At 38.2% G+C, this 25,989-nt stretch overlaps 1 protein-coding gene and 1 long non-coding RNA gene across 23 annotated transcripts in view, besides 3 other annotated features; one reads left to right on the top strand and one right to left on the bottom strand.

Moving 5' to 3' along the window:
- Window positions 1-851: 851 nt before the first annotated feature.
- SMC2-DT (SMC2 divergent transcript) lies at window positions 852-13,302 on the bottom strand. The gene is made up of 3 exons (NR_121580.1): window positions 12,917-13,302; window positions 7,868-7,983; window positions 852-7,369 (listed from the first exon to the last, which is right to left on the bottom strand). It is a non-coding gene; the product is annotated as an SMC2 divergent transcript (long non-coding RNA).
- Window positions 9,091-25,989, top strand: part of SMC2 (structural maintenance of chromosomes 2) — a 53,157-nt gene continuing 36,258 nt past the window's right edge. For 3 of the 22 annotated variants that reach the window (NM_006444.3, XM_011518153.2, XM_024447383.2), the window contains exons 1-9: window positions 15,137-15,305; window positions 16,152-16,380; window positions 16,976-17,125; window positions 19,274-19,396; window positions 20,472-20,510; window positions 20,921-21,031; window positions 21,217-21,261; window positions 22,788-23,021; window positions 23,252-23,401. In NM_006444.3, coding sequence (NP_006435.2) covers window positions 16,213-16,380; window positions 16,976-17,125; window positions 19,274-19,396; window positions 20,472-20,510; window positions 20,921-21,031; window positions 21,217-21,261; window positions 22,788-23,021; window positions 23,252-23,401 — 1,020 coding nt within the window. In that variant the 5' untranslated portion in view covers window positions 15,137-15,305; window positions 16,152-16,212. Of the gene's footprint in view, window positions 14,781-15,136; window positions 15,315-15,454; window positions 15,667-16,126; window positions 16,381-16,975; window positions 17,126-19,273; window positions 19,397-20,471; window positions 20,511-20,920; window positions 21,032-21,216; window positions 21,262-22,787; window positions 23,022-23,251; window positions 23,402-25,989 lie in introns of those variants that run through there. The other 19 variants (NM_001042551.2, XM_047422648.1, XM_011518150.3 and 16 more) reach the window with 17 other exon arrangements.
- Window positions 14,420-15,089: an enhancer, noted in NCBI's record as "NANOG-H3K27ac-H3K4me1 hESC enhancer chr9:106855873-106856542 (GRCh37/hg19 assembly coordinates)". NCBI's record gives its function as "activates a minimal SCP1, AML or CMV promoter by ChIP-STARR-seq in primed H9 embryonic stem cells {active_cell/tissue: H9 hESC(primed)}" and the evidence as "EXISTENCE:reporter gene assay evidence [ECO:0000049][PMID:30033119]".
- Window positions 14,552-14,871: an enhancer, noted in NCBI's record as "active region_28728". NCBI's record gives its function as "activates an Ori minimal core promoter by ATAC-STARR-seq in GM12878 lymphoblastoid cells {active_cell/tissue: GM12878}" and the evidence as "EXISTENCE:reporter gene assay evidence [ECO:0000049][PMID:35858748]".
- Window positions 15,090-15,757: an enhancer, noted in NCBI's record as "NANOG-H3K27ac-H3K4me1 hESC enhancer chr9:106856543-106857210 (GRCh37/hg19 assembly coordinates)". NCBI's record gives its function as "activates a minimal SCP1, AML or CMV promoter by ChIP-STARR-seq in primed H9 embryonic stem cells {active_cell/tissue: H9 hESC(primed)}" and the evidence as "EXISTENCE:reporter gene assay evidence [ECO:0000049][PMID:30033119]".

The following is a 25,989-nucleotide window of genomic DNA, read 5'->3' on the forward strand; positions in this document are numbered from 1 at the left end:
CACAATCATGGCAGAAGGTGAAGGAGGAGCAAAGGCATGTCTTACATGGTGCCAGGCAAGAGAGCATGTGCAGGGGAACTGCCCTTTATAAAACCATCAGGTCTCATGAGACTTACTATCATGAGAACAGCACGGGAAAAACCCATCCCCGTGATTCAATTGCCTCCCAATGGGTCCCTCCCATGACACATGGGGATTATGGGAGCTACAATTCAAGATGAGATTTGGGTGGGGACACAGCCAAACCATATCAATACTTTACTCAATTCTTAAAAGTTGTAAATAGCTCAAAAGAAAAGTTTCTTGGCTCTGAGAAACAAAACAAAGGATCAGCAATGTTTTAAGCCAAAAGCCAAAAAAGATTACTTTAGGCTTCTATTAGTTCAGTCCATGCAATTAACGCCTGTTCTGCTTGATATTCATGAACAGTTCAGCCCTCCATGAGAGTTCTGAAAGTTTTTCCTCTATTATAATGTCACAGTCTCCAAAGTTATCAGAAACCTGCATTCAAGAGCACCTGTCAAAGTCTTATAGCTGATTATAAACCACCTTTTGAAGGGGATCAAAATAAGACAGCAATTGTCCATGGTTGACAAAAAGTCTTAGAACAGCCACTATTAAAGCCACAATTGACAAGAAAATTTTGGTTACTTCTGTGGCATACAACAATTTTACATAATAATTATGACTATTAATAACATCCACTAAATCATATCAGAATTATAGGAGTTTCCCATAATTTTGGAACACATACCTAAAACATATTTACACAAATACATCTTTTACTTCTTAATAGAGGGAAGACTTAGCTTTCCAAACAATCTGACTCTTTCCTTTCCCTTCTTTTTCTTATAGTTTATTTAAAAGGCAAACAAAAACATTTTCGTATTTTTTAATATAACATGAAAACCTTGTTCAACAGAGAAAGCCAAATTTCACCTTTGCATTAATGCAGTATTGATGCCAAACCTAATTCTTAAAAAAAAAACCTTATAGACTAATCTATCCAATCTTAATCAGTTAGATCATAAGGTAAGATTCTCATAAACCTTTTATAACCCTTTACAATTTTTTCTTAAAGAGTAGATCACTGCTCTAAGAAAACCCTGTTGTGCTTTTATTCCAATGTTCAATTTATGAAAAAAACTGAATAATACCTCCTTTAATTTTAGCTAATATGTTCACACACAGAATTTCTTTTATAAGATTAATTGTTCACAAACCTTCCACAACTTGTTTAAACCTTCAGCTTTTTTCTATCTAGCTTGAAAAAAGTTTTTAAGCCTCTAAACTAGGCCAAAAAAATCCGTATTCCCATGCCTTCTTATAATTTTTTACCAAAAACACGTCACTGTCCTTACACACCTTGTATGTAAAACTGCTTATTCAGTAGACTCAATTAAACGTTACAATGCTAACTGAGCAACTTTTATTTTTGGTGAAAAATCTGGTAAGTAAGGATTTTAATTATCTATCAGGTGTGGAGCCTAAGACACTAGACATAAGTCCAGATAAGGTCCTTTTTCAGCATAGCCGGGGGCATGGCTAACTCCACATGTTCCCATGCCTTACCTGGAATCTAATGGCTCCAAAGCAGGTAAGTTGAACAATTATCAAGTTAAAAAAGCACTTTATGATATTAAAGCATTTGGCAAACCTAAATCTGACTGGCGCAATTTAGACCAAATGTCTTTATTTTACCAATAATCTTTAAAACTGTCTCTAATTCCTAAAGATTATTAAAGTCACGTGAAGTAAAAGGCATTTGTTTTTATTTTTCTGATAATATTTGATTTAATTGCCTATTATCTTTAAACCAATTAATCAGAGCTCTTTTATATATAAACACCACACACACAACACATGTAAATATGCAGACAGACAGAAAATCCAGTACTTGGAAGATTTTCCATTTGCTTACAATCCATTAAGTTTCTTAATTGGATTGCTGGCTTTAGGGTGGAGCCCTTGGAGGAACAGGACTGGGAAAGCATGCAGTTTCCAGGGCCTAATAAGCAGGCACAGCTGGAAGGCAAAGCAGAGCCCCAAAATTAAGGGTCTCATTTTTATATTAGATCCTGGATCCCCAAAGAAAAGAGGGAATCAGGAATGAGATAATGTCCTTTGCAGGGACATGGCTGAAGCTGGAAGCCATTATCCTCAGCAAACTAACACAGGAACAGAAAACCAACCACCACATGTTCTCACTTATAAGTGGGAGCTGAACAATGAGAACACATGAATACAGGGAGGGGAACAACACACACTGGGGCCTGTCGGGGAGGGCATCAGGATAAATAGCTAATGCATGTGGGGTTTAATACCTAGATGATAGGTTGATAGGTGCAGCAAACCTCCATGGCATATGCTTACCTATGTAACAAACCTGCACATCCTGCACATGTATCCCAGAACTTAAAGTTAAATTTTAAAAAAGAGGGAATCAACCCATCTCCCATAGGAGTCTCATCTCTCAGTGGGGAATGGGGACATTTTCATACTTTCTAGGTGGCCAAGAACATGATTCTCTAATCCAAACATGCAAAATGCCAAGTATCTCCCTATAACTGCCATTAGCCATCCCCAAAAGTATATTTCCTACCTAGTTATTACACACCAAAGCTCTCTCATAATGCAAAGTAATTTCTGATACCCCTAAAAGTCAATACTGTCAGACATCACAGTGCAAAACAGAGGAGAGCCTTAGATTTTGAGAGGGATCTATCTGATTTCAATTTCTGGGTTTTCATGAAGAAAGCAGAGGTTTTTCCTCAAACAGGGTCTGTAGTGCCTCCTGTTTTTCCCAAGGAGTCCCAGGCTGTTAGAGCTTGAATATCCACTTTTAATTAAGCTGACTTTTAACCATAGCATTCTTTTAAAAAAAAAAAATCTCATTATCAGACTCTAGCCAGGCAAAACAGCAAATACTTGTAGCTTTTGAACTTTACCAAAGGTAACCTCCCAGGTACTCAGAAAAAGGAAAATTCAAGAAAGGAAGTCAGAAGTTGTTCTACGGCACTGGGCAGTCTCCATTGCCCTTCCCAGAAGGAGTCTAGAGCAGCCAATTTTGAGCTTGCAAAGCCTTTTAACTGCTCAATATAATTTTTAGGGCTAACTATGATATGAACCCCAAAGTTCCTGTTCTCTGAATGGCAGAGACAAAGAGGAAGTACTGCCACATGGTTATAAGGTCAAGCTCCCAAGAACATAAAACAAGACAAGAGGGGAACTTCAGTTTTGTTTTTGTTTTGTTTTGTTTTGTTTCAGGGATCTGAAGCAAAGTTTGTAAGTGACCAGTTTGATGGGCTGTCTTGAACAGCAGTCTTATAGGGTGTATTAGTCAGGGTTCTCTGAAGGGACAGAACTAGCAGATAGATGAATAAATGAATGGGAAATTTATTAGGAGAATTGTCTCACATGATTACAAGGTGAAGTCCCACAATAGGCCATCTGCAAGCTGAGAGGCCAGGAAGCCAGTCCCAGTCCTAAAACCTGAAAAGTAGGGAAGCTAATAGTGCAGCCTTCAGTCTGTAGCTGAAGACCCAAGAGCCACTGGCAAATCATTGGTTTAAGTCCAAGAATCCTAAACTAAAGAACTTGGAGTCTGATGTTCAAGGCCAGGAAGCATCCAGCATGGGAGAAACATGGAGGCCAGAAGACTCAGCCAGTTTAGTCTTTCCACATTTCTCTGCCTGCTTTTATCCTAGCCAAGCTGGCAGCTGAATAGATGGTACCCATCCAGATTGAGGGTGGGTCAGCCTCTCCCAGTCCACCAACTCAAATGTTAATCTCCTTTGGCAGCACCCTCACAGACACACCCAGGAACAATACTTTGCATCCTTCAATCCAATCAATTTGATACTCAGTATTAACCACCAAATGGGGGCTTAAGCCTGTATTCTATCCTAAGGTAACCCTCCTTCTGACAGAACAATCTGGAAAGACAAATTTATAGCACAAAGTACAGCAAATTCACTACAGCTTAAGACTAACTTAATGGGAAAATTCTTTTTCCTATTAATTAAAACTTTACACAGGAATAAAGAGGGATGTTTACCATTCCTATAACTCGTTTGCACAGAGAGGCCAGAAGTCTGAATGGTAAGAAATTCTTACCCTTTTGCTGGCATGCCAGGCTTCTGGGTTCCCTTTCCCTGAGCAGCCCTAGTGACCTGTCTTGTGGCACCATAGCCCTAGGGGCCAAACCACAACACAAAGGAAAATCACCTTTTTCCATTTCATGAAACCATAGGCAAAAGCCTCTCAATTTTGCAAGATGTCACCCAAGAGATTGCATGGGGTAACCCAATTAACATCTTCCAAACCAGCCAGAGCAAAATAAATGTGACAAAACATAGACATTAGCCACTCTGCTTAGCACCCAGTATCAAACTGGGAAGGCTCAAACATGATTCTAGTTGGGCCTTTTCATCTTTGATCCACTCAAATTGGTGTGGAATGATCTTCTGACCAGGAGTTTCCACATGTGGTTTCTGGGCAAACTGAAACCGTAGACAGTTGCCCTGAGTAACAGAAAAGATAGAAAAGAGAAAGGAAAGAAAGAAAGGGAGAAAAGCATTGCCTGCAGCAGGGTGAGGAAAATGAGGAGCTCAGGGAGGCCAGACAAGACCGATCCATTGCAGCAACACTGAATCTAAAGTTCAGGTGGCCAATTGTCTCATCAGCTCTCAAATTTCCCCTTTAGGGAGAAAATGCTCCCCATATCCAGTGATCCTATATACACCTAATCCTGTCACCCACAGACATCAGCAAACAGTGCAAGGCAGATTAATACAAAGAGAATAATGGTTAATATCCCATAATGTGAAATCCATTTTTAACCAAGAAGGACTTTACTGAGAGGAGCTTCTAACCCCCTTAATCTTAGGAAGGACTCTAACCTTCCTAGTTTGGGCCTTGAACCTAAGTTCCATCAAGCGTCCTTGCCTTTTATTAAGAGGGGCCTTTAAGCTCTCTGTCTTAGGAGAGGCTCTAACTCTCCTAAGTTGGGCCTCTAACCCAATTCCATCCTTTAACCAGGTAAAATGGTTCCTATCACTTACCCAAAGTCATACAATTGGTGATCTAATCTATTTCTTTTGGGTAGGGAGTCTCCTTAGTTTAATCTCATTGTGGTCACCAGGAAGATGTTACCAGAAAAGGGTCCTGATCAAGACTTTAAGTGAGGGTTCTTGGACCTCATGCAAGAAAGAATTTGGGGTGAGTCCACAGAGTAAAGTGAAAGCAAGTTTATTAGGAAAGTAAAGGAATAGAAGAATGGCTACTCCATAGACAGAGCAGTGGCATAGGCTGCTTGACTGATTATACTTATAGTTATTTGATTATATGCTAAACAAGGGGTGTATTATTCCTGAGTTTTCCAGGAAAGAGGTGGGCAATTCCCAGAACTGAGAGTTCCTCCTCTTTTTAGACCATATAGTATAACTTCCTGACATTGCTATGGCATTTGTAAACTGTCATGGCACTGGTAGGAGTGTCTTTTAGCATGCTAATGCATTATAATTAGCACATAATGAGCAGTGAAGACTACCAGAGGTTACTTTCGTCACCATCTTGGTTTTGGTGGGTTTTGGCCAGCTTCTGTACCATATTATTTTATCAGTAAGGTCTTTGTGACCTGTATCTTGTGCCAACCTCCTATCTCATCCTGTAACTAAGAATGCCTAACCTCCTGGGAATGCAGCCCAGTGGGTCTCAGCCTCACTTTGCCCAGACCCTATTCAAGATGGAGTTGCTCTGGTTCAAATGCCCCTGACACACCCATGGCTGAAGTCTATGTGGTTGTCCTGGTGTTAATTATTGAAGGATTCTGCCAAGGGGTAGGGAAATGTTAGAGAGTAAGCATCTGGGCTGTCAAATCTAACTGTCCTTTTCCCAATAGAAATCCTCCTTACAGAATCAACCTTTTGTTATCTGTTTTAAGTTTTATTTTTCAGGGAAACAACTTTTTATACTTTTAATTAAAATTATTTGTACATAAATTTTATTTCCTCATGAGACCTTAAAGTACTTGAGATAAAAAATTTAGGAAAACCACTAGAAGCCTCAATTTTCCCATTTGCAAAATGAGTGGCAAAAATTTTTCAAAGGCCCTTTCATCCATATTACTTGCTAATTTTATACAACTCAGCCTAAAATTATAGGATGTCACAATTCTAGGCAGGTTGAGTATACTTTATCTCTGGTTTCCATATTAGTTTTCTGGCTGATATGCTGCCTATATCTTTTTGTTATTTTCAGGTAAAATAACTGCTCTGGAAAAGAAGGCAAGAAAGTAAAACAAGGCAATTTCACCACAGCCATCATCAGGAACTCAGGGGCAATTTGACTTAAAGCAGCTTGAAATTTTAAAAGAAAAACAGAAAATGCAATCTGTTTTCTCATTTGGTCTGTTTCCTCTTTAAACAAGCACACTCTAACTCTCTAAAGATTTCCCCCTAAAAAGAAAACACATTGCTCAGCTTGACCTATAATTTAAATCACAATTAAGCTTCCAGTTAGAATGTATCTTCATCATAAATCTACTATAAATCCCCCAGTGTTCTGTTAAATTGCCTTAGCCTCTTAAACAGCAGGACCCCAGTTTTATTTTCCCTAGTTATAAAATGCTGGATTATAGCTTATTTATGAGTTTCATGAATAAGACAAATTTGATTGCCATTCACGAAGAAATTCTCACCAGGTTATTATATTCCTAGATCCTATTAACTAATAAAAATACAGAAACTAAAAATTACTCCAAATTAGTCATTCAAGTAGAAATGCTTGCAAGACTTCTTTGTATAAAAAGAAGATGCCACCAAACAGCACTATTAAGAACATTTCCTCCTATTGCTCCTGGTCATCACTGCTACCTCTGCTAAATCCAATCTGCTTTTTATAAACATTTATAAATCTACCTTTTAGCCTGCTATAGCAATCATTCCTGAGGGACATTGCTTTTTCACTAGGAATTTACTCCTTATGAGCAGTGCCTAAAGTGGTTCAGATTTTATGTCCTTGACCTAAATCTGGGTACCCACTATAAATCCAAACTCGACGGAGAATGTCCAAGCGTCTGGTGAAATGGGTCATCTGGGGTTTCAAAGATTTCAGGGCTTCCATAGTCACATGGACAGGACAATTACTTGAGGCATGAAGACTCATAGGTACCCCTAGGGTAGTGTAAAATTGTTGCAAAAAGTTCTGTTTTATAATCCATAAAATAAGAATTGATATTCACTACTATATAAGCTCCATACAGCAGAAATTTTTGTAAGTACTCAATTATTTGTTGAATGAGTGGATGGACTTTCATCTCAGCTCCGCTCTGTGATCAAAGCCTAGTTCCAAGATCCAGCTTCTTCATCTATGAAAAGGAAATTACATGTATTACATGAAGTAACTTAGGAAATGTGTATGGAACTAAGTACAGCACAAGTATAAATCAATATTCTAAGCAATAAAATTACTTTCTAATAATCATTTTAAATAATTCAAGCTAAGTCTGAAATAAAAGATTATTTAAATCCTTGAAAGGCAACAATGGGGAAAACTGTTGTTTAAAAATTGCAAGCGTTTTCTTTCTCTTAAAACGTGAGGGATTAAACTTTCAGGCACAAACAACTTTTGTTTTTGTAAAGTCATCTGAATGGATACTCATTTACACAAATGTAGAACAATGGTTCCCAGTTGCAATAGAAATATTTTAGACATGTAGCAGCAAAGAAATGAACTGCTTTGCTTTATATTTTAACATAGTGACATTAATGTAAACTGGTTTATTTTAAAAATATCTTTCTTTTATTAGCATAAGGACAGAAAGATGTTTTTAATACGTATGTACCTAGACCATTCCATGCCTTACATTTTCGCTTGTCCTTATGAAATTGCATGAGTGTTTTCCCGAAGAAGTTGCCCACAGGAGATTGGGAGAGAATACTGGCAACGGCAGAAAAGACTTGGAGACATGATCTTCATCATCTAATGACAAGGGACATAAAGAGAACATGATTTGGATTGCTAAAGCCTCACCTGAACTCCACTGTGGATTTCCTACAAATGCTGTTATTTAAAAACACATCCTCTAATTCTCAGAAATGTATCGATGCCACACATTATCATGGTCTGAAGACCCTCAGGAACCAAAGACGAACCAAAACCACACTCTTATGAGTGGGGGTGGAGTTTGGAGAGAATGGACTATAGGGAGTAGGGAGACCAAAATAGAATGCACAGAAGTCTATGAATTCCCCATTTCCCACCTACCTGTAATGGGATAGAGGTGGGAATGGAAGTCAATATTTGAAGATAAGGCCAGCATGGGAAAGGGAAGAGAGATAGTGATCAAGGTAATTCCTGAGTTTCTATGCACACTAATGTTTGATGGAGTATGCATGTAATCACCTAGGAACTTAAATATGGGTAAAAATAACAACAAAACAACAACAAACTTTCATCTGAAAAATCCGGAAAACAATAGTTTCTGGTTTGGAGAGAATGACCATCTTTATAATCTTTGTATGTTCATGTAGTCGCTCATCCCTTCAATTAACACTTATGGAGCACAACTCTGTCTCCAAAATTGAACTGGATGCTGGGTTTATAGACACTTACAAGGCAAGACCACTGACATCAAAGTGCTCACAGTGGGTGACAAACATATAAATAAATACATGTAACAGGAGTCTGTATAATTCATAAAACAAAGGAGGGTTGGTAATTATACCTCGACAGCAACTAAGAAAGTGGTATCTGAATTAGAGTCTTTCAACCCAAAACTGCAGCCGTTCATAAAGCATAGAAGCTTGTTTTTACTTTACAGGCAAAAAAAAAATTGCAACCAGAGGTAAAGAATATGGTGCCGAGAGCCCTCTGAAGCATACAGCTGGCATAAATATTTCATGGTACATTCCTCAGCCTACTATCACAGTGGTCACTGATGATATTACACAAATAGAATATGTTGATAATAGGGATTTTTTTTTAAGTTTTCAATATTAGATCATTGAGAAATGATCACTACAATGAACTCACTGAACCTTAAAATACTATTTTGTGAAATATATTGTATATTTTCAAGTATTTTTTTCTTTTTTAAACTATTCTTTTCTGGCACCTTAATGAGTGAGCAGCAAATGAACCCCATGAACTTATTCATATTGAACCAATATTTATTAAATATCTACTATGTGACAAGCACCAATATGTATCACAAAGGTATGTCACAATGAGAATGGAGGTCAGAAGAAAAGTGTGGATAAAGGGTTAAGGGATTATGGAAGAGGTTGCAAGTAACTCGAGAAATGGATCAGATTTGGGGTTTAAATACACATAGAAATACACAAGGGGGAGAAGTGAAGAGTCAAAGGGCATTTCAAGTTCACCATGTGCAAAGGAAGATGGAGAAGTGAACACTAATGCTTCAGGAATGACGAAAAGATGGTGCATAAAATGTTCCATAACCTGCCTTCTGTGGATCTCATACTAAATCTTGCTACTTCTTGCATCATACATTACATTTATCTTCTGTGCCATTGACTGTGCAATCTACTCTATTTAGATGACTGCCTTTCACTCTTCATTTCTCCTGGTTAATGTCTTTATACAAGTCTTCTCCACTCAACTATGGATTCCTTGGAGACAGGCAGACATCTTATTCATCTTTGTATCCCAGCACATAACACAATTCTTGGCACAATGCAGGCATTCTATAAATGCCTATTGAATCCACTGATACATCTATCCACCAACAAAGTTAGGGAGCACTTTCTTTTGTCATTGGTTGTTGCATAAGTTCACAACAGTTAAAAAAAAAAAAAAGACATGGTAATCTAAGGAAGAAAGTAGCAGATGAATCTGAGAAAGTAGGTTGGGAACAGACAATGAAAGGTCAGCCAGGCCACCTTAAAGAGGTTAGAATTAACTTTGTGTGTAATTTTCACCAAAGGTTTATATAGAGGGAAGAGGTACCATTTTTATATAGAAACATATACATATATATAGTAAAACTTTAGAGAGGGCAGAGTCTTGTTGAAGTAGAAGATTAAGTTAGGATATATTTGTTGACTGTAGAGGACTGCAGAGTGGTGTAAGAGGTAGTGGAGATGTTAACTGCAGAAGCAAATCTTGTAAAACAAAAAATCTGAGAGTGAAGACTCTCTTTGAATCTAGTAAGAATTGAGTTTGGTAATAAAAAGGAACCAGTTGGAGGAGAATCTGGCAGATGTGTGTGGATTTGAAATAAAGAGTAACAATGGACCACCATGCCAAGGAGAACTATGAAATGAGAATAATATTTGAGGAAGAGAAGTCAATAATTATCCCCATAAAAGAAGGGGTATGACAAAGCAGATGAGAGGTGAGCTAGGTAGCTCTGGCTATTAACCAGCATGCAAGTGATAAAAGCCAAGGATAGCTGGAAAAACAGAAAGAAACGAATATAAAACAAGTAAGAATAGAACTTACTTCATGAGTAGTACATGAAAATTTTTTTTTTGAAAAAGCTCTGTCACCAGGCTGGAGTGCAGTGGCGCGATCTAGGCTCACAACAACTTGTGTCCGCCTCCTGGGTTCAAGCGATTCTCGTGCCTCAGCCTTCTGAGTAGCTGGGATTACAGGCATGCATCACCACACCCAGCTAATTTTTGTATTTTAGTAGACGGGGTTTCGCCATGTTGGAACCAGGATATTCTCCATCTCCTGACCTCCTGATCTGCCCACCTTGGCCTCCCAAAGTGCTGGGATTACAGGCATGAGCCACCGTGCCTGGCTGAAAATACTTTTTTAAGACCTAGTACCAGACTTCTTTAGAGAAGTAATTACTAGTTTTTAGGAAAAGTGACTTTGAATAGAGAATGTGAGCTCTGTAAGGAAGGCTCAGGAGGAGCAAAACAAAGATCACTGATGTTCTTCACGAAAAGTAAATGAGAAGACCTCCTCCAACATGGTCGACTGAGCTTTCCTTTATAAACTCATAGAAATAATGGATAAAATATAATTATTGTTCTATAAACCATATACAACCGTAAAAACAAAAAACAGCAAAAAGGAAATTCTCAGTGCCTGAAATAAATTTTAAAAATTGAAGAGCAGAAAGCAGAACAGATACTGCGGTAGCCCTCCAAAATTTTATACTTGGCTATATGCCTCAGGAGCCAGTAGTTGAGTTTTAATGTCCAAGCACAAGGCTGAGCTTTGATGAGGCAGGTGAGCTGGAACTAAGCCCTTATGTAAAACCTGGAGCCTTAGGAATAGCCAGCTACCGGAACTGGAAAAAGGCAATCTACTAGTTTGGGGAAGCGATAAAGAAGTTTGTTCTTTGGGGCTTTGGATAGGGTGGGAAAAAAAAAACATAAGGTACCTATGAGAAATCAAAACTGCAGCCCTGCAACAGATCTAAATATACAATATTTGCATAATTCAGGAGCCACAAACTGAGAAATTATCATTTGAAAATGCTTCAGATCTTTAAGAGCTACGGTATGCTGGCAGAAGCAAATGCATAATTGTCTAAAGGGACTCTTTTGCAACTAAGGGTGTAAGAGAGTCCCATAAACAAAACCATCCCACTGAAGAAGAGCACCACATGAGGAAATAAATCACTGAGTAAGAGTCAGTGGAGGTCGTAAACAAGAGTTAGGAACTGAAAAGCTAAAAATAACAGAACTAACAGAAAAGAAGATAAAATAAAGACATATAACTTGATTAAAAGGACAAAATAATAGAAATCATAATGAAAGAAGAGGCAGAATTCACAAAGAACCAAACAGAACATGTATTTTAGAAAACAATATTGTCACTGACATTAAAATGAATGGGTCTAACCAGTCCCACTGGGTGAATGAATATAATAACCTCCTTTTCTATTCCTCATTTTAAATTATACTTAGCTGTGTTTCTTTGCAAGTTTGTCAAACAGGTTATATTCGGTGAACCCACAGTTCAAATAATATGGCGTTAGAAATAAAATACAGTCATGCGTTGCCTAACGACGAGATACGTTCTGAGAAACGCCTCATTAGGCAATTTCATTGTTGTGCAAACATCATGAAGTATACTTAACACAAACCTACATATTATAGCCTTATGATTCTAGACTACAAACTTTTATAGCATATTACTGTACTGAATAATGTAGGTAACTATAACACAATGTTGTGTTTGTGTTTCTAAACAGAAAGGGTAGTATGTTGCACTACGATGTTACAACATCACTAAGCAACAGGAATTATCCATTATAATCTTAAGGGACCACAGTCACATAATGTAATCAGACATTGAAATATTATGTGGTGCACGAGTGTATTCAAAAAGTGCTGCCAGGCCACTGCCCTCCAGCCTGAGACAGAGTGAGACTCCTTCTCTGAAAAAATAAAAGTGCTGCTAGTCAATCCAATGTAAAAATATAAACTTCCTGTCATTATCAATTCATTTCCTTGAACCTAAAAATAATCTCTCAACAAAATGAGTCTTCCTTACTTCTGCGGTAAAGTCCTTTCTTTTTTTCTTGTCCTTTGTTCCAAGGAGAAAGGATTCACTCGGGTCCCTGTGAGAAGAGCTTCTTTAGCACTCTAAAATTAGAAAAGTATACCCAGGAGAGAGCAGGTTCCTTCCAGTTCCCTAGGAGAGTAGAGCACCAAATATTTCTCCTAGGTCTTGCTTTGTGGCTGTATGTGTGTCCTTGCTGGTACTGATGATGCCTTCCATATAAGGACTCAGACTCCACTAGCTGCCAGATTTCTGCTTGAAACACTGCCCGCTAGCGTTGAAGCTTTCAAACGATTTTAATCCATGGTGATGAAGCAAGAACAGTGTTTTCTGTACACTGCATCTACCCTATACTCTCTGTTTCTACCCCTCACATCTCCAAATTAGGGGGCTTCACTGGCTTTGTGCCTTGGTTTTTTCCACTCACCTGTGTGATCTCAGGAGGCAGAGTTTCAAGTTAGTCATCAGTGATTTCCTCAAGTCCATTTGTCTTATATTTAGCAGCAATTCCTTAGTGCTTCTGGCACGCAATAAGACTAAAACTGAGAGATCTCCACCTTTATAAGCATTTTTCATTTTAATCAATGGTCTTAATGGGAGTAGTTAGATCTGCACATTCTTCTAACCACCCAGGAGTCCTTATCCAACAACAGTGCACTTGTGTATGTTTTCATCCATGTGACGTAAGTGTATCAGCTAGTTGTTAAAGTGCAAAGACTAACAGTCTGTCTTAACACATATTTCCATACCAAAAAATCACTTTATTTCACAACGTGACAAAGTCCACATTAGGATTTGTTGGCAAATTAAAATTCTTTACTCACAAAATGATAAAAGGAAGGAGACACAGCTCAAAGTTAATGTGTAAGAGTTAACAGAATCAATACAAGTGAATAGCTGTGGAGCCCAGGGGATGCAGGAATCAAGGCAGACAAAGATATCTGTTGAATTAAATTAATGTTAGGTCACTACCCATGGTTGACATCACAGAAGTGGATAAGCATACCAGAGTAAACAAAGGAATCCTTTCTTAAACAAAAAACCCATACAACTTATTTTACTCCCTTATCGAGAAATATTTTCAAAATATAAGCCCATTCCTGGTAGGTTAAGACCAATTCAGATGACTGCATTGCCATTCCAGGGCCAAGAAAGCAACTTTAAAAACATGACCTACGCTATGGTCTAAATGTGTCCCTCAAAATGCACATTTTGAAATCCTAACTCCCGAACTGACGGTTTTAGCAAGTGGCATCTTGGGAAGTGAGGAATGGGATTAAGGTCCTTATAAAATAGGCCCAAGCGAGGGCCTCTGCCTCTCCACCATGCGAGGACAGAGCCAGAAGGTGCTATCCACTAAAGAGAAAGCACCCCTCCCTAGACACACCTTATTCTGTGACATTCCAGCCTTCAGAAATGTGAAGAATAAACTTCTGTGGTTCATAAACTACCCAGTCTAGGATATTTTGTTATGGAAGCCCAAAAGGATCAAGCCATTCCAAAATAGCATTGTTGCCCACACCATCTTTTTGAACCTCACTTAGGGTAACACCATACCCATTCGGAGTTAAGCCCTTCCTAACTCTTAAGTATCAACGTGCTTGGAAACGTGAGCAATCCTGACACGTTTTTTCTTCCTAAAGAACAATACATACTAATAATAGGATCGGCTAATAATACTAGATTCTATGCATGAAGCCTAGTATTTAAAAGCATGCAATCTGGAGCTAGACCGCCTGGGAACAAATCCCAGCTTACTAGACAAGCTGTTTAACCTTTTACTTGGTCTCATTTAACTCATTTGTAAAACGAGGGCAATTTCTGATTTCATAGGGTTGCTACGTGGATTTTAAAAAGCCCCTTGCAATATAGCCTAATATTCAGAACTCAATAACATGAACTGTCTTAAAAGGTTTCCAGAAAAAATCCCCAACAGGTTAGGTCGGCTTATCATTACAACGCTTTCCGGTATAAGGGAGATGAATAGCTATTTAGCACCACACAATTTCTCCTCTGGGCTCGGAACAGCTCTCGGTAGACTACGATCCCTTTCCGACGTGGAAACTTCAGATAAAAACGCTCCCCGAGGTCCGAGGCCAGTACGGGGCGGAGCCAGGACGCGGGCCAGAGTCCCCCGAAGGACGGTGCCTCTCTGGCCCCAAGAAGTACAGCTTTTATTTTGCAGCAATCTGAGCCAACCCGAGAAGATTCTGAAGCTTCCAAAACAGAACCGACGAGAACACTCATAGAATGCCTCTCCACTTCCTAACTGTCGCTTTGAGGAGAGAAAAGTAAGCCACAGCCAGCACCGCAGACTGGAGAAGGCGGAGTCTGCAGTGTGCCTAACGCGAACTAGAGGGACCGAGGCGGGGCGGGGCTGGCGAAGCGCGAGGACCCGGGGCCGAGGTGTGGGGCTGACCATAGAGTGCCGGACGCCGGTGTGAACATACACTATCTGCTCCTGTAGTGCCCAGGCCCCTGCCGGGGAGTCCCCGGAGCTACCATTATCGAGACTCTCATTCTATTGCCCTGCGGCTTTAATCCTTCGAGTGTAGGGGAAAAATTGAACCCTAAAGACAGGCAGCTCCTAGGCACCAGCACAGGAAATAAGCAATGGAGGTGGGGTCCTTTGCTCGCGCCGAAATTCAAAGGAATAAATAGTTCCGGCGCGGGTGTTGAGAGCGGTGTGGCAGGTGTTGTAGCCGCTATGGTGAAGTTCGCTTTGTAGCGGCCCCGGCTAGAGAGTTGTTCTGTTCCCTGCCTTTGTGACCCGGAGGAGCTTTTGGGGTGCGTCAAGCCCCTGGCCTGAGGCAGCGGTGAGGCGTGTGCGTGAGCACGGCCGGTTGGGCCGGGCCAGACTTCCTGGCGGGAGGCGGGAGGCGGGAGGCGGGGCGCGGGGCGCGGGGGCTGTAGGGAGGGGGACCAGTGGCAGAGGGACCTTAGGTGATCCTTAGAAATAAAGGCTAGCTTCTGTTCGACCTTGGAGTAGGGCGAAGAGGTGTAGACAGGCCTGGAGAAGCGAGGTAAAAGCCTGAGTAAAAGCAAGAAGTTGGAGAATATGAGATACATCTCATCTCTAGTAAATACTTAAATGACTTCCCCTCCTCCCGGAGTCAAGCACAATTCGGGGATGCAATGACGGACGTAGGTGAAGACACTGCGGGAACTTACAGACAAGTAATGACCGTCTAATATCAGCTTTAAGTACCATGAAGGAAAAAGAAAGCCGAGTGAAGGATTGTGGAGAGGTGACATAGGGAGGTCAGGGAGGACTCCAGTAAGGTGACATTTGAGCAAAGACGTGAGTGCAGTAGAGAGTAAGCTATGTCAGTATCAGAGAAAAGCACATTATAGGCAAAGATAATGGGATATGTAATAATCCATAGTCTTTGTTTAGGTAGAGTATGATAAAAGTAGAAGGCAAGCCTGGAAAAACGGGTAGAAGAAATAGTTAAGACTTCCCAGTTGAATGGTTTAATTTCCAGATAGTGGCTAACTCTGGTATATTTTTGAGTAGATGAACGATGTCTTTACATCAGACAAGATAGTTTGTCAAGTGGCTGTTTTATTTCTATCACCCTATCGTTGCTGTTTTTGCCTCGTGTTCATTATGATTCCAGGTTTACATTCCACTTAGGTGGTGGTATTTCTGTTTCGTACAGAACTGGTTTGTGGCCTGTTTGATTCCTGTCAGAGGTTTGCTGACCCAAGACAGTATCGAAAATGCATATTAAGTCAATTATTCTAGAGGGATTCAAGTCCTATGCTCAGAGGACCGAAGTCAATGGTTTTGACCCCCTCTTCAATGCTATCACTGGCTTAAATGGTAGTGGGAAATCCAACATATTGGACTCCATCTGCTTTTTGCTGGGCATCTCCAACCTGTCTCAGGTAAAGTGTAAACTTTCTGATTTATTTGAATTTAAGTTGGCAGGAGAATCCTCACTGAACTTTGGAGACGTCCCGATATTCTCTTCATTTGTGTTTTTATACTTTTTGTAAATTACACCTCACTGCAACCTTTTAAGGAAAGTAATATTACTCCTTTAGATGAGAAAATAGAAACTTAGAGATGTTTAGAAGTAACAGTGCCTCAAAACTCAGGCATTCTGACTGTAAAGCAGTCTCATTCCAGAGTATTTTCAACCCTGTGTAATGATGCCTTTTCAAATCCTATTAATGGATTGAATGACTAGTGAAAATCTTTGGGACAGTATTTCCTTATATCTTGCAAAGTAACTTTTTATTAAAAAATGAATAGGAAACAATTCAATTCAGGGTTGAAAAGGTTCTGTAGAGAAAAGTGTCCATTGCAGGTTGTTGCCTATTTTCCTTGTTTTTCTTGCCAGAGGATGCAGCTGCCTAACCTTGTCTACTTAATGGACACTACGTTGGTGGGTTTTCCAACAGCAAGGGACCCATTTTTAGTGCTGCTTTGTACGGTAGGGAGTTTTGTAATTGTTACACTTTTCATATTTTATTTTAGGTTCGGGCTTCTAATTTACAAGATTTAGTTTACAAAAATGGGCAGGCTGGTATTACCAAAGCCTCTGTGTCAATCACTTTTGATAATTCTGACAAAAAGCAAAGTCCTTTAGGATTTGAGGTTCATGATGAAATCACAGTAACAAGGCAGGTGAGTGGCAATTAAACCTTTGGGTATCTTAAGACCTTTTATGTCTGATGTGGTTTTTGGCCCTATGCCTTTGCAAAACGTGCTAGAGAAAGTTCATGAGCAAAATTGGTGCCTTAAATTCTGACTAGATTCCTTAATGTCTTCCTTATATTAAAATCTTGATCATGCACATTCTATCACTAAGAGGATTGAAAGACAGCTGAAAAGTTGTTCATCCAGTATAAGCACTCAGCTATGCTGAAATCTTAAACCATATTTGAATCTTCTTTGGTTGTTCTTGAACACCTGTGTACTTGAGATCTTTCAATCTTCTGAGATAACCCATTCTGTTTTTGGACAGGTCTTATTAGAAAGTTAACAGCTATAAGTTTTGTCAGAGTCTGCTGTCTTCAAATTTTATTCATTAATCCTAGTCCTCTTGAGAGCACCAAGAGCAAATCTAACTTATTCCCTACTTCAGTGTTTAAGTGATGTGCAAGTATATGTGTTTTAGTTCTAAGTGAAATCTTGCCAGGTCTTTCACTTGATGTTTGTTCCTAGTTCCTTCACTTGCCTGATTATACCAAGTATGCTCCAGTTTCCCTCCCTGCTCCTGCATTCATCTATCTTTCTTTCTTTTAATGGCACCTTAGATTGGGTGTACCAAAATTGGTCTAGTTGGAGTTATTCTTTCATTTTAGATATTCTACTTTTATTTTTCCCAGTAGAGCATTGGGGTGTTCATAATACATTGTGGATTCATATTAGATTTACTTGAAACCACTCAATTTTTTTTTAGGTGTGTTATTAATATAGTCAGGCAGTGTTTTCAGCTTGTCAAGGTTTTTTTTTTTTTTTTTTTTTTTCCTGAGACGGAGTCTCGCTCTGTTACCCAGGCTGGTCTCCATCTCCCGGGTTCAAGAGATTCTTCTGCCTCAGCCTCCTGAGTAGCTGGGACTACAGGTGCCCACCACCACACCCGGCTAATTTTTTTTTGTTTTTTGTATTTTTAGTAGAGACGGGATTTCGCTATGTTGGCCAGGGTGGTCTCAATCTCCTGACCTCATGATCTGCCCGCCTTGGCCTCCCAAAGTGCTAGGATTACAGGTGTGAGCCACGGCGCCTGGCCCAAGATTTTGTTTTTAAAAATGTTGTCAACTCCTATTTACTGTCCATCTTATCATTTATCACTTACAGATTTTCTCCTCTATTTTAATGGAAGCCTCTGGTTGAAAAAAAAAAAAAAAAAAGAAGCGTAGGCCACGTTAGGACAGAATCCTGTTCCATGTCATTAGGCATCCATCAAATATTTATCCTTTAGGAACTGTCACTAAGTCTCTTACTAATAATCTACCTAATTGTTCCTGTCCTCATTCAGGCCATAAACTTGTATCTTCACCAAAATTATAAAATTTTTGTCAGAGAAGGGTCTTCAAATACATTAATATATGAACTACCAACCTAGTAGTCCTGTCAGGAAAAGAAATGAACTAACATTTATTCAATATTTATTAAATAGTTGATGTATATTGGGTGTTCTTGAATGTACTGGGATGTACAGTTAGAAGAATGAGAAACAGAGCTTGTCTTTAAGGACTTCAATCTGGTAGATGAGACAATCATACCCAATAAATGACAATTTAAGTGTGATAGTAGAGTATGGTGTCTGGGATGACTTAATGAAACCATACTGAAGCTCCATGATTACCCTTTCTTTTAAATGGTCATAAATCATGTCTTTATTAATAGCTTTTTGAATCTTGTCAAGAATTGATACTAAGCTACTTTGTCTGACATCTATTCCTGTTGAAAAGTAGAGAAAGCCTCTAGAAAAATTACAGAAAGAAAGTAACTAGGAAAGTGTGTTTTACATATACTTGGAAACATAAAGCTAGAAGTTACCTCGGAGACCTAGTCTGGTGCAGGCCAGGGTAAGAGGCTTGTGTGTAATTACATAACTAGTTACCAAAAGTACTTGCATTAGATACTAGCTGTCCTGACTCAAGTTAGCGTTTTTGACCATGTCATACTTGTTCCACTATTTATGCAGAATTGGTTTTGTTTACTGCTAGTCAGACAGAACAAATAAACGTAAGCTAATATACTTAGTTTATCCTAGCACAAGGTGTGCATGTACATTAATATTTAAAAAATTGCTTTCTTTTATAGGTGGTTATTGGTGGTAGAAATAAATATTTAATCAATGGAGTCAATGCCAACAACACCAGAGTACAGGATCTCTTCTGTTCTGTTGGCCTTAATGTTAACAACCCTCACTTTCTCATCATGCAGGTATTTCGTTTGAGGTCTTTATATCACTTTCGTAATAGTTTCGACATTTTTTACTTTTAAGCAATTAAAATAGAAGTACTTTATGTTTTGGATTTTATACTTTTTATTTACTATTGTGCTGTGTCCGGCCATCTGTTTAGAAATATGGTTTAGTTACTTGCACTGATATATTCTACTGGATTATAGACCTTTGACTCCTCTAGAATGTTTAGAAGTAATTTTTGTTGACTTTTTGTTTTGTCACTAAAAGAACAATACATGTTAACTGTAAAAAAAAAAAAGCCATAATATATCCTTTTAAATTATTGGATTAATGCATCTTAATATTTCAAGTATAAAAGCTTGAGTAATTTTCTTAGAGACTCACACAAATGAGGAGTAAAGGCTGATTTTATCTTACATTTACATTACTTCATTTGACCCATCCAGCTGCCGTTTGAGAGAATTATAGTAAAGTCGATGGGAGCATCTCAGTGGGACCAAAATAAAAATATTTCCACTACACACCTTCATAGTTGAAACTTTACTTTAAATGAATCTACATTCTAGTAATACAATTCTCTGAGACCTGGGTGTGCAGGTGTTTTGCTTTATTTGTTTTTGGTAATGAATAAATTTAATGGTTTTCTGGCATTGATGTAAAATATTGTATTTTGTTTGAGGCCTAGAAGTATGTCATCTGTTTTGTGAAATTATCCTGGAGGGTTATCATTCAAAGAAATGTTAAAAGTTTTTTAATTATGCTGAAATTTCTTTTTATATTTACCTGTTTTAAATTTGAATATTTCTACTTAATGTTAACTGTCTCAGAAACATGATCCTTGTTAACTTTGTATCATTTAATGAATTATTTCATTTGTATCATTTCATAACTTCCATAATTTGTATCACTGGTGAGAAAGTGAATAGCAAAGTTCCAAAATTCTAGAATCATAGAAGAATTATAGAGGAAAGACCCCCCCAAAGATTGGTATATTGAGATACAACAGCTTCAGTCTAGATAAACATGAATGGCAGTACAGATAAACATTTTCTGTAATTTGTTATCTTAGTAAGTTTGCTATTTTATTTTCAGGGCCGAATTACAAAAGTATTGAATATGAAACCTCCAGAGGTAAGAGTACTATTTATGGACATTAAAAATAGTTGGTATAGATATTACTTTAATCTTTCAGACAATTTTTAAATATTCTATTAAAATTTTTGGAGACATTATTTGGGAATGATTAGTAAAGACAGTTGTATATTTGTGTAATATTTGGCACTATGCCCAAATATTAAAATTGATTTTGATTGTATAAAGGAGTCTTGCTTAGCTGGTGTTTCATGTCAGAATTCATTCCTACAGAAAAAGCCTACAGGAAAAGGTTTGTGTGAAATTACTATATTTAACCTATATGGTTCATTTGGGCCAACTTTTGGTAAGATGTTTAGTGAGGTCAAGGCAAAAATGATATATTTAATGTAAATTCCAGTTGGACACATTGTCTTGGATACTAAACATTAATAAAATTGTCATTCCAGATTTTATCCATGATAGAAGAAGCAGCTGGAACCAGGATGTATGAATACAAAAAAATAGCTGCACAGAAAACTATAGAAAAAAAGGAGGCTAAGCTGAAAGAAATTAAGACGGTAATTTAATTCATATAAAATATTTTCGGAGAAGAATGTAATTTTGCATGTAGAGTTTTTGCTGTAAAGAGGGAAAAATTTTTTTCCTTGGTTCAGTTTTCCATAGTCATCCCTGCTACTTCTCTTTCAAATAAATTTTAATGATACTTTACATGCGAAAATACTGATTTTTCTTTATTTTCCAGATACTTGAAGAAGAGATTACTCCAACCATTCAAAAATTAAAAGAGGTATATTCTGTATATGTGAGGATAATCTATTAGAATGTCTTTCAAAGTCAGCAATGTATCCAAAATCATACACATAGTGATACTATTTCTTGGGGGTTTTTTTCCTGCGATGAGATAAGGAATTAGAGTTGGCACTCCATAACTCAGCGTTCTGCTTACAGAGGATATGCACTTATCTGCTAAGTCATAGGATATTGGAGAGTAATTTTTATAGTTTCAGAAAATGGTATGCCGAATTTTAATACTTTATTTAAGCTAAGCAAGTCTGGATTTTCCTAGTTAGTTAGCATTGACTGGAACAACATTTCTTAAAGATAAGGCACTCTTAGACACCCTCATTGAGAACAATTTCCAGGATAACAGGGGCTATCACTATAATTATTGCTATCAAGGTATTTTGTAAGCAAAAGGTATTGAAACAGAGGATTGGATTGTCTCTGTAATCTTTGCAGCTCCTGACTGTCAAAAGACATGGCACAATATGTCATCAAAAAATGCATTTATGAGCTACGTTTTCTTTTTCTTGAGACTAGTCTCACTGTCGCCCAGGCTGGAGTGCAGTGGTGTCATCACAGCTCACTGCAGCCTCCACCTCCCGGTCTCAAGGGATCCTCCCACCTTAGCCTTCTGAGTAGCTGGGACTACAGGTGCATGCCACCACACCCTGCTAGTTTATTTTTTTGTAGAGACAGGGTTTCTCATTGTTTCTCAGGCTGGTCTTGAACTCCTGGGCTCAAGTGATCCACCTGCCTCGGCCTCGCAAAGTGCTGGGATTACAGGAGTGAGCCACTGTGCCCAGCCAAACGACGTTTTTAAAGCTATCTCCTTTTAGGAATTTATTAAATGCTCATTGAAATTTGGTACTACTCAGAGCTGTCTTGTGAATCCATATAGTAGTATAAATTTTACTGGAAAAATTGTAATCTTGAAGATACCCTTTTTGTATGTATGATTTAGTAGAAAACACTAGATCAGGAATTTAAACTTAGGTCCTAGACTTCATTTTGCCACAATTGCTTTCTAAATCTAACAACATGGACAGATCATTTAATCATTCTGAATTTGTTTTTTATGTATAAATTAAGGATTTTAGTTATTACTTTGTCTGGTCCCAGTAGGTCCTTATGGGAGTCGTGTTTAGTAATGATGTAAGCGAGTGCTTGTAGTAGTGCTTCAAAGTATATTAGAGTAGGCATCTTGATACTACTACTACAGAATCCATGTAATAGTGTAACATGGTGGGTGTGTAAGCTTATGAACCTTATGTCCATATTTCTTTGTTAAGCTCAACTACCCAAGTGTGTGTTAGAAGAAATAGCCAAATAAGATTCACTAGAGATGGTAGAATGCTATCTAAAAGTCCTGACTTCTGATGTTACGTAAAGTTTCCTACAATTTAAAATGCTATAATTGTTTAATACAGGACAAAATCTATTATGTAATGAGAAATTTGTTTCATCTTGCATAATTGAATTTTTTTTTTAATACAATTTTGAGTTATTCTTTTTTTGTGATTTCTCTTTCAGGAAAGATCGTCCTACTTGGAGTACCAAAAAGTAATGAGAGAAATAGAACATTTGAGTCGTTTATATATTGCTTATCAGTTTTTGCTGGCTGAAGATACCAAAGTACGCTCAGCTGAGGAATTAAAAGAAATGCAAGATAAAGTTATAAAGCTTCAGGAAGAATTGTCTGAGAATGATAAAAAAATAAAAGCACTTAATCATGAAATAGAAGAATTGGAAAAAAGAAAAGATAAGGTCTGAACATATGTATAAGAATCGATAATATACTCTGTGAAAAACGTACTAAATTATATATAGTAACTATTTAGGATTCATTGGGCATTGTCTTCCGTATTGATTTGTTAATCTTATAGTAAGATAATGAAATAACTTATAAAAAAGTGTTTGATACAGAACTCATACAATAAAATGACAGCGTGAACAAATTTTACATAAGTGATTGAATTGACTGCATTTTGTTATAGGAAACTGGAGGTATACTTCGATCTTTAGAAGATGCTCTTGCAGAGGCTCAGCGAGTTAATACTAAATCTCAAAGCGCATTTGATCTCAAGAAGAAAAATCTGGCATGTGAGGAAAGCAAACGCAAAGAGCTGGAAAAAAATATGGTTGAGGTAAGTGAGCTTAATGTGCCACTAGTGCCACTTGTAGACAAGTATATAGTCTCATTAGTGTACATTTATCTATTCCATGAATATTTAGTGAGTGTCTTCTATAAGCTAAGTACAGTTGTTTGGGCTGTGGTTACAACTGGACCAAATGGTCAAAAATCCTTGCCTTGTGGACCTTCATTCCATTGGGGGAAATGATAATAAAGAAAATAAATAAAACATGTAACATGTTATAGAGTGATAACTGATGTGGAGAAAAAGCAGGGAAGGGGATTAGGAGTGTAGGGGAAAAAGAGTACAATTTGGGATTTTAAGTTGGATAGCCACTGAAGTAAGTGGAGAATAGGAAGAACGGGTTTGATAAGCTTAAGAAATACAGTATGAATATAATAGGCTTGAGGAGCCTGTTAGACATCTTGAGTAGTGATGTTGATTAGGTACTTAACTATATGAATATTGAATCCAGGCAAAAATACAGATTTGGAGGCATCATCAATGTATAGGTGTTATTTAAATCCATGAGACTAGATAAAATGATCAAGGCTGTAAGTTCATATAAGAAGGTTGGAGCCCTGGGATACTTTCAACGTTTGAATGTTAGGATAGTTCAACATTCAAAAGAGATTGAGTAGTGTGAGGAAAATTAGGCCAGTAAATTGTCCTGGAGTCCAGGTAAAAAAGATGTTTCAAGGAGAAGTGGCCATGAGTACCTGATTAGATTGTGTTCATACTCTCACAGAATGAAGGCAGAAAAAAGAAAAGTGAATATAGATAACTTTTTGAGAAGTTTTCTGAAAGAGGGATAAATAGGGAGGTAACTGGAGGGTAATACAGAAGAGAGTTTTTGGCTTGATTTGACATGGGATAAATAAATTCTATATTGACAGAAAAGATCCAGTAGAAAAGTCGTCATTTGTGATTCAGGAGAGAGAGATGGGAGAGTTGTTAAAATAGGGCCCCTTAGTAGCTGCAAGTAGGATAGGAACTAGTGTATAGAGGAGGTCGCCTTCGCGAGAACTAGGAATAGGTCATCCATGGTAACAGAAGAGTCAAGTATATAGTCTCACATGTAGGTAGATGAGTAGGTGTGTTTTTGGAGCTTATGGCATTTCTTTTGAGGGTGATTCTGTTGTCCCAGTGAAGGTATACATTTGCCTTTTCACTGAAAAAAAATTAACTTTGTGAAAATAATTTCTTTATACTGCCCTGTTAGATATTTTTGCAGAGAAATACATTGTTGAATTAAGAAACAGTGGAGGAAAATTTAGACAAAATTTTGAAGCGATATGAACGTGTTGTAGCAGTCTGTGTTGTGGCATCCAAGAACTGAAATCAATTCATCAATTACTTTTTTTTTTTAGGTGAGGTTTGTAAAGCTCTAAACATGTGGACCTGCCTTGTTTTGGGTTCATTTTTCTTTAGTCTTGTCATGTCCTTAAGCTTCACACACTGATTGCTCCTTTTTCATCCTTCTTTTCTGTATCCCCTTATTCTTCTAGATCTCTTAATGTTAGTATGCCCTAAGGCTAGCACTCTGATATCTTTTATAAACTCTCACGCCATAGGTGGTCTCATCCAGCTCTGTAACTCTAAATATCATCTATATGTTGATGCCCTCCAAATCTATAAGCAGGCTTAACTCCCTAAACTCTATGAAGCAGGTTTATTGTGTGCAGATTACCAACTTGTCTGAAGCCAGCAGACATAACACATTCATACACAACATTTTATGTGAAATGGATTTATTACTTATTGATAGGCAACAAGGGAAAACAGAAGTCTAGGATTCATTGCAAGCTGATCTCCCAAGGCTCAGAAAAGCTGCCTAGGGTGGTTTGAATTTTATTTGCACGTGCTCAACTTGCACAGCAGCTGAGGGACCCCAGAAAACAGCCTGCTCTGAGTTTATACCCTAGAGTAACATGAGACACTGGGCTGAAGCATTGAGATTATGTTTTAGGGCAGCTGGAGGAGCAGATAGAACAGTCCTGGCTCTTCTAACCATTGCCTCCCTTTCTTGGGATATTGCATTATCAGCACATTCTACAGTTATTCTTGAGAACTGTAAGCCAGGGAGGGAAGAACTGGCTTAGTCTAATGCCACCTAAGGAGTTGTCCTGTAGTTTATCCTCCAATCTAGGTATCCCCTCTAGCAAAACTAGTCCTTTTATTATGCCCACAGACTTCTCTGAAGCTGAAGGAGAAGGAGGTTTGTCTTCTTAGATGGATATAACACTCTGACTGACATAATCTCATTGCAATATTGTTGAGCCATAGCCAGAATACATTTCACTGTGCCCAGGAGGACCACAGGCAGGATGATCAGGCCTGCCTGGAGCACTGACTCAGCCCAGGATCCTAGTAATCCAGGTATGAAGTTGTTAAAGAGGTCAAAGAAGGATCCTTCGGACCTGCTTCCAGATCTGTATTTGTGTCTCTGCGATACCTGAGGTGTTTATCTAGATACAGCAGGAAGTGTTGGCAATCGCATGTATTCTTCCCACTTGTGCTAACAGGTTTAGAGCAGTTGTCTAAAACAACTTTCCCAAGGGATATCTGCTGGGCTGCCAAGGCAATGTTATATATGGTAC

This window comes from Homo sapiens, chromosome 9, assembly GCF_000001405.40.
Source record: "Homo sapiens chromosome 9, GRCh38.p14 Primary Assembly".
NCBI lineage: Eukaryota > Metazoa > Chordata > Mammalia > Primates > Hominidae > Homo > Homo sapiens.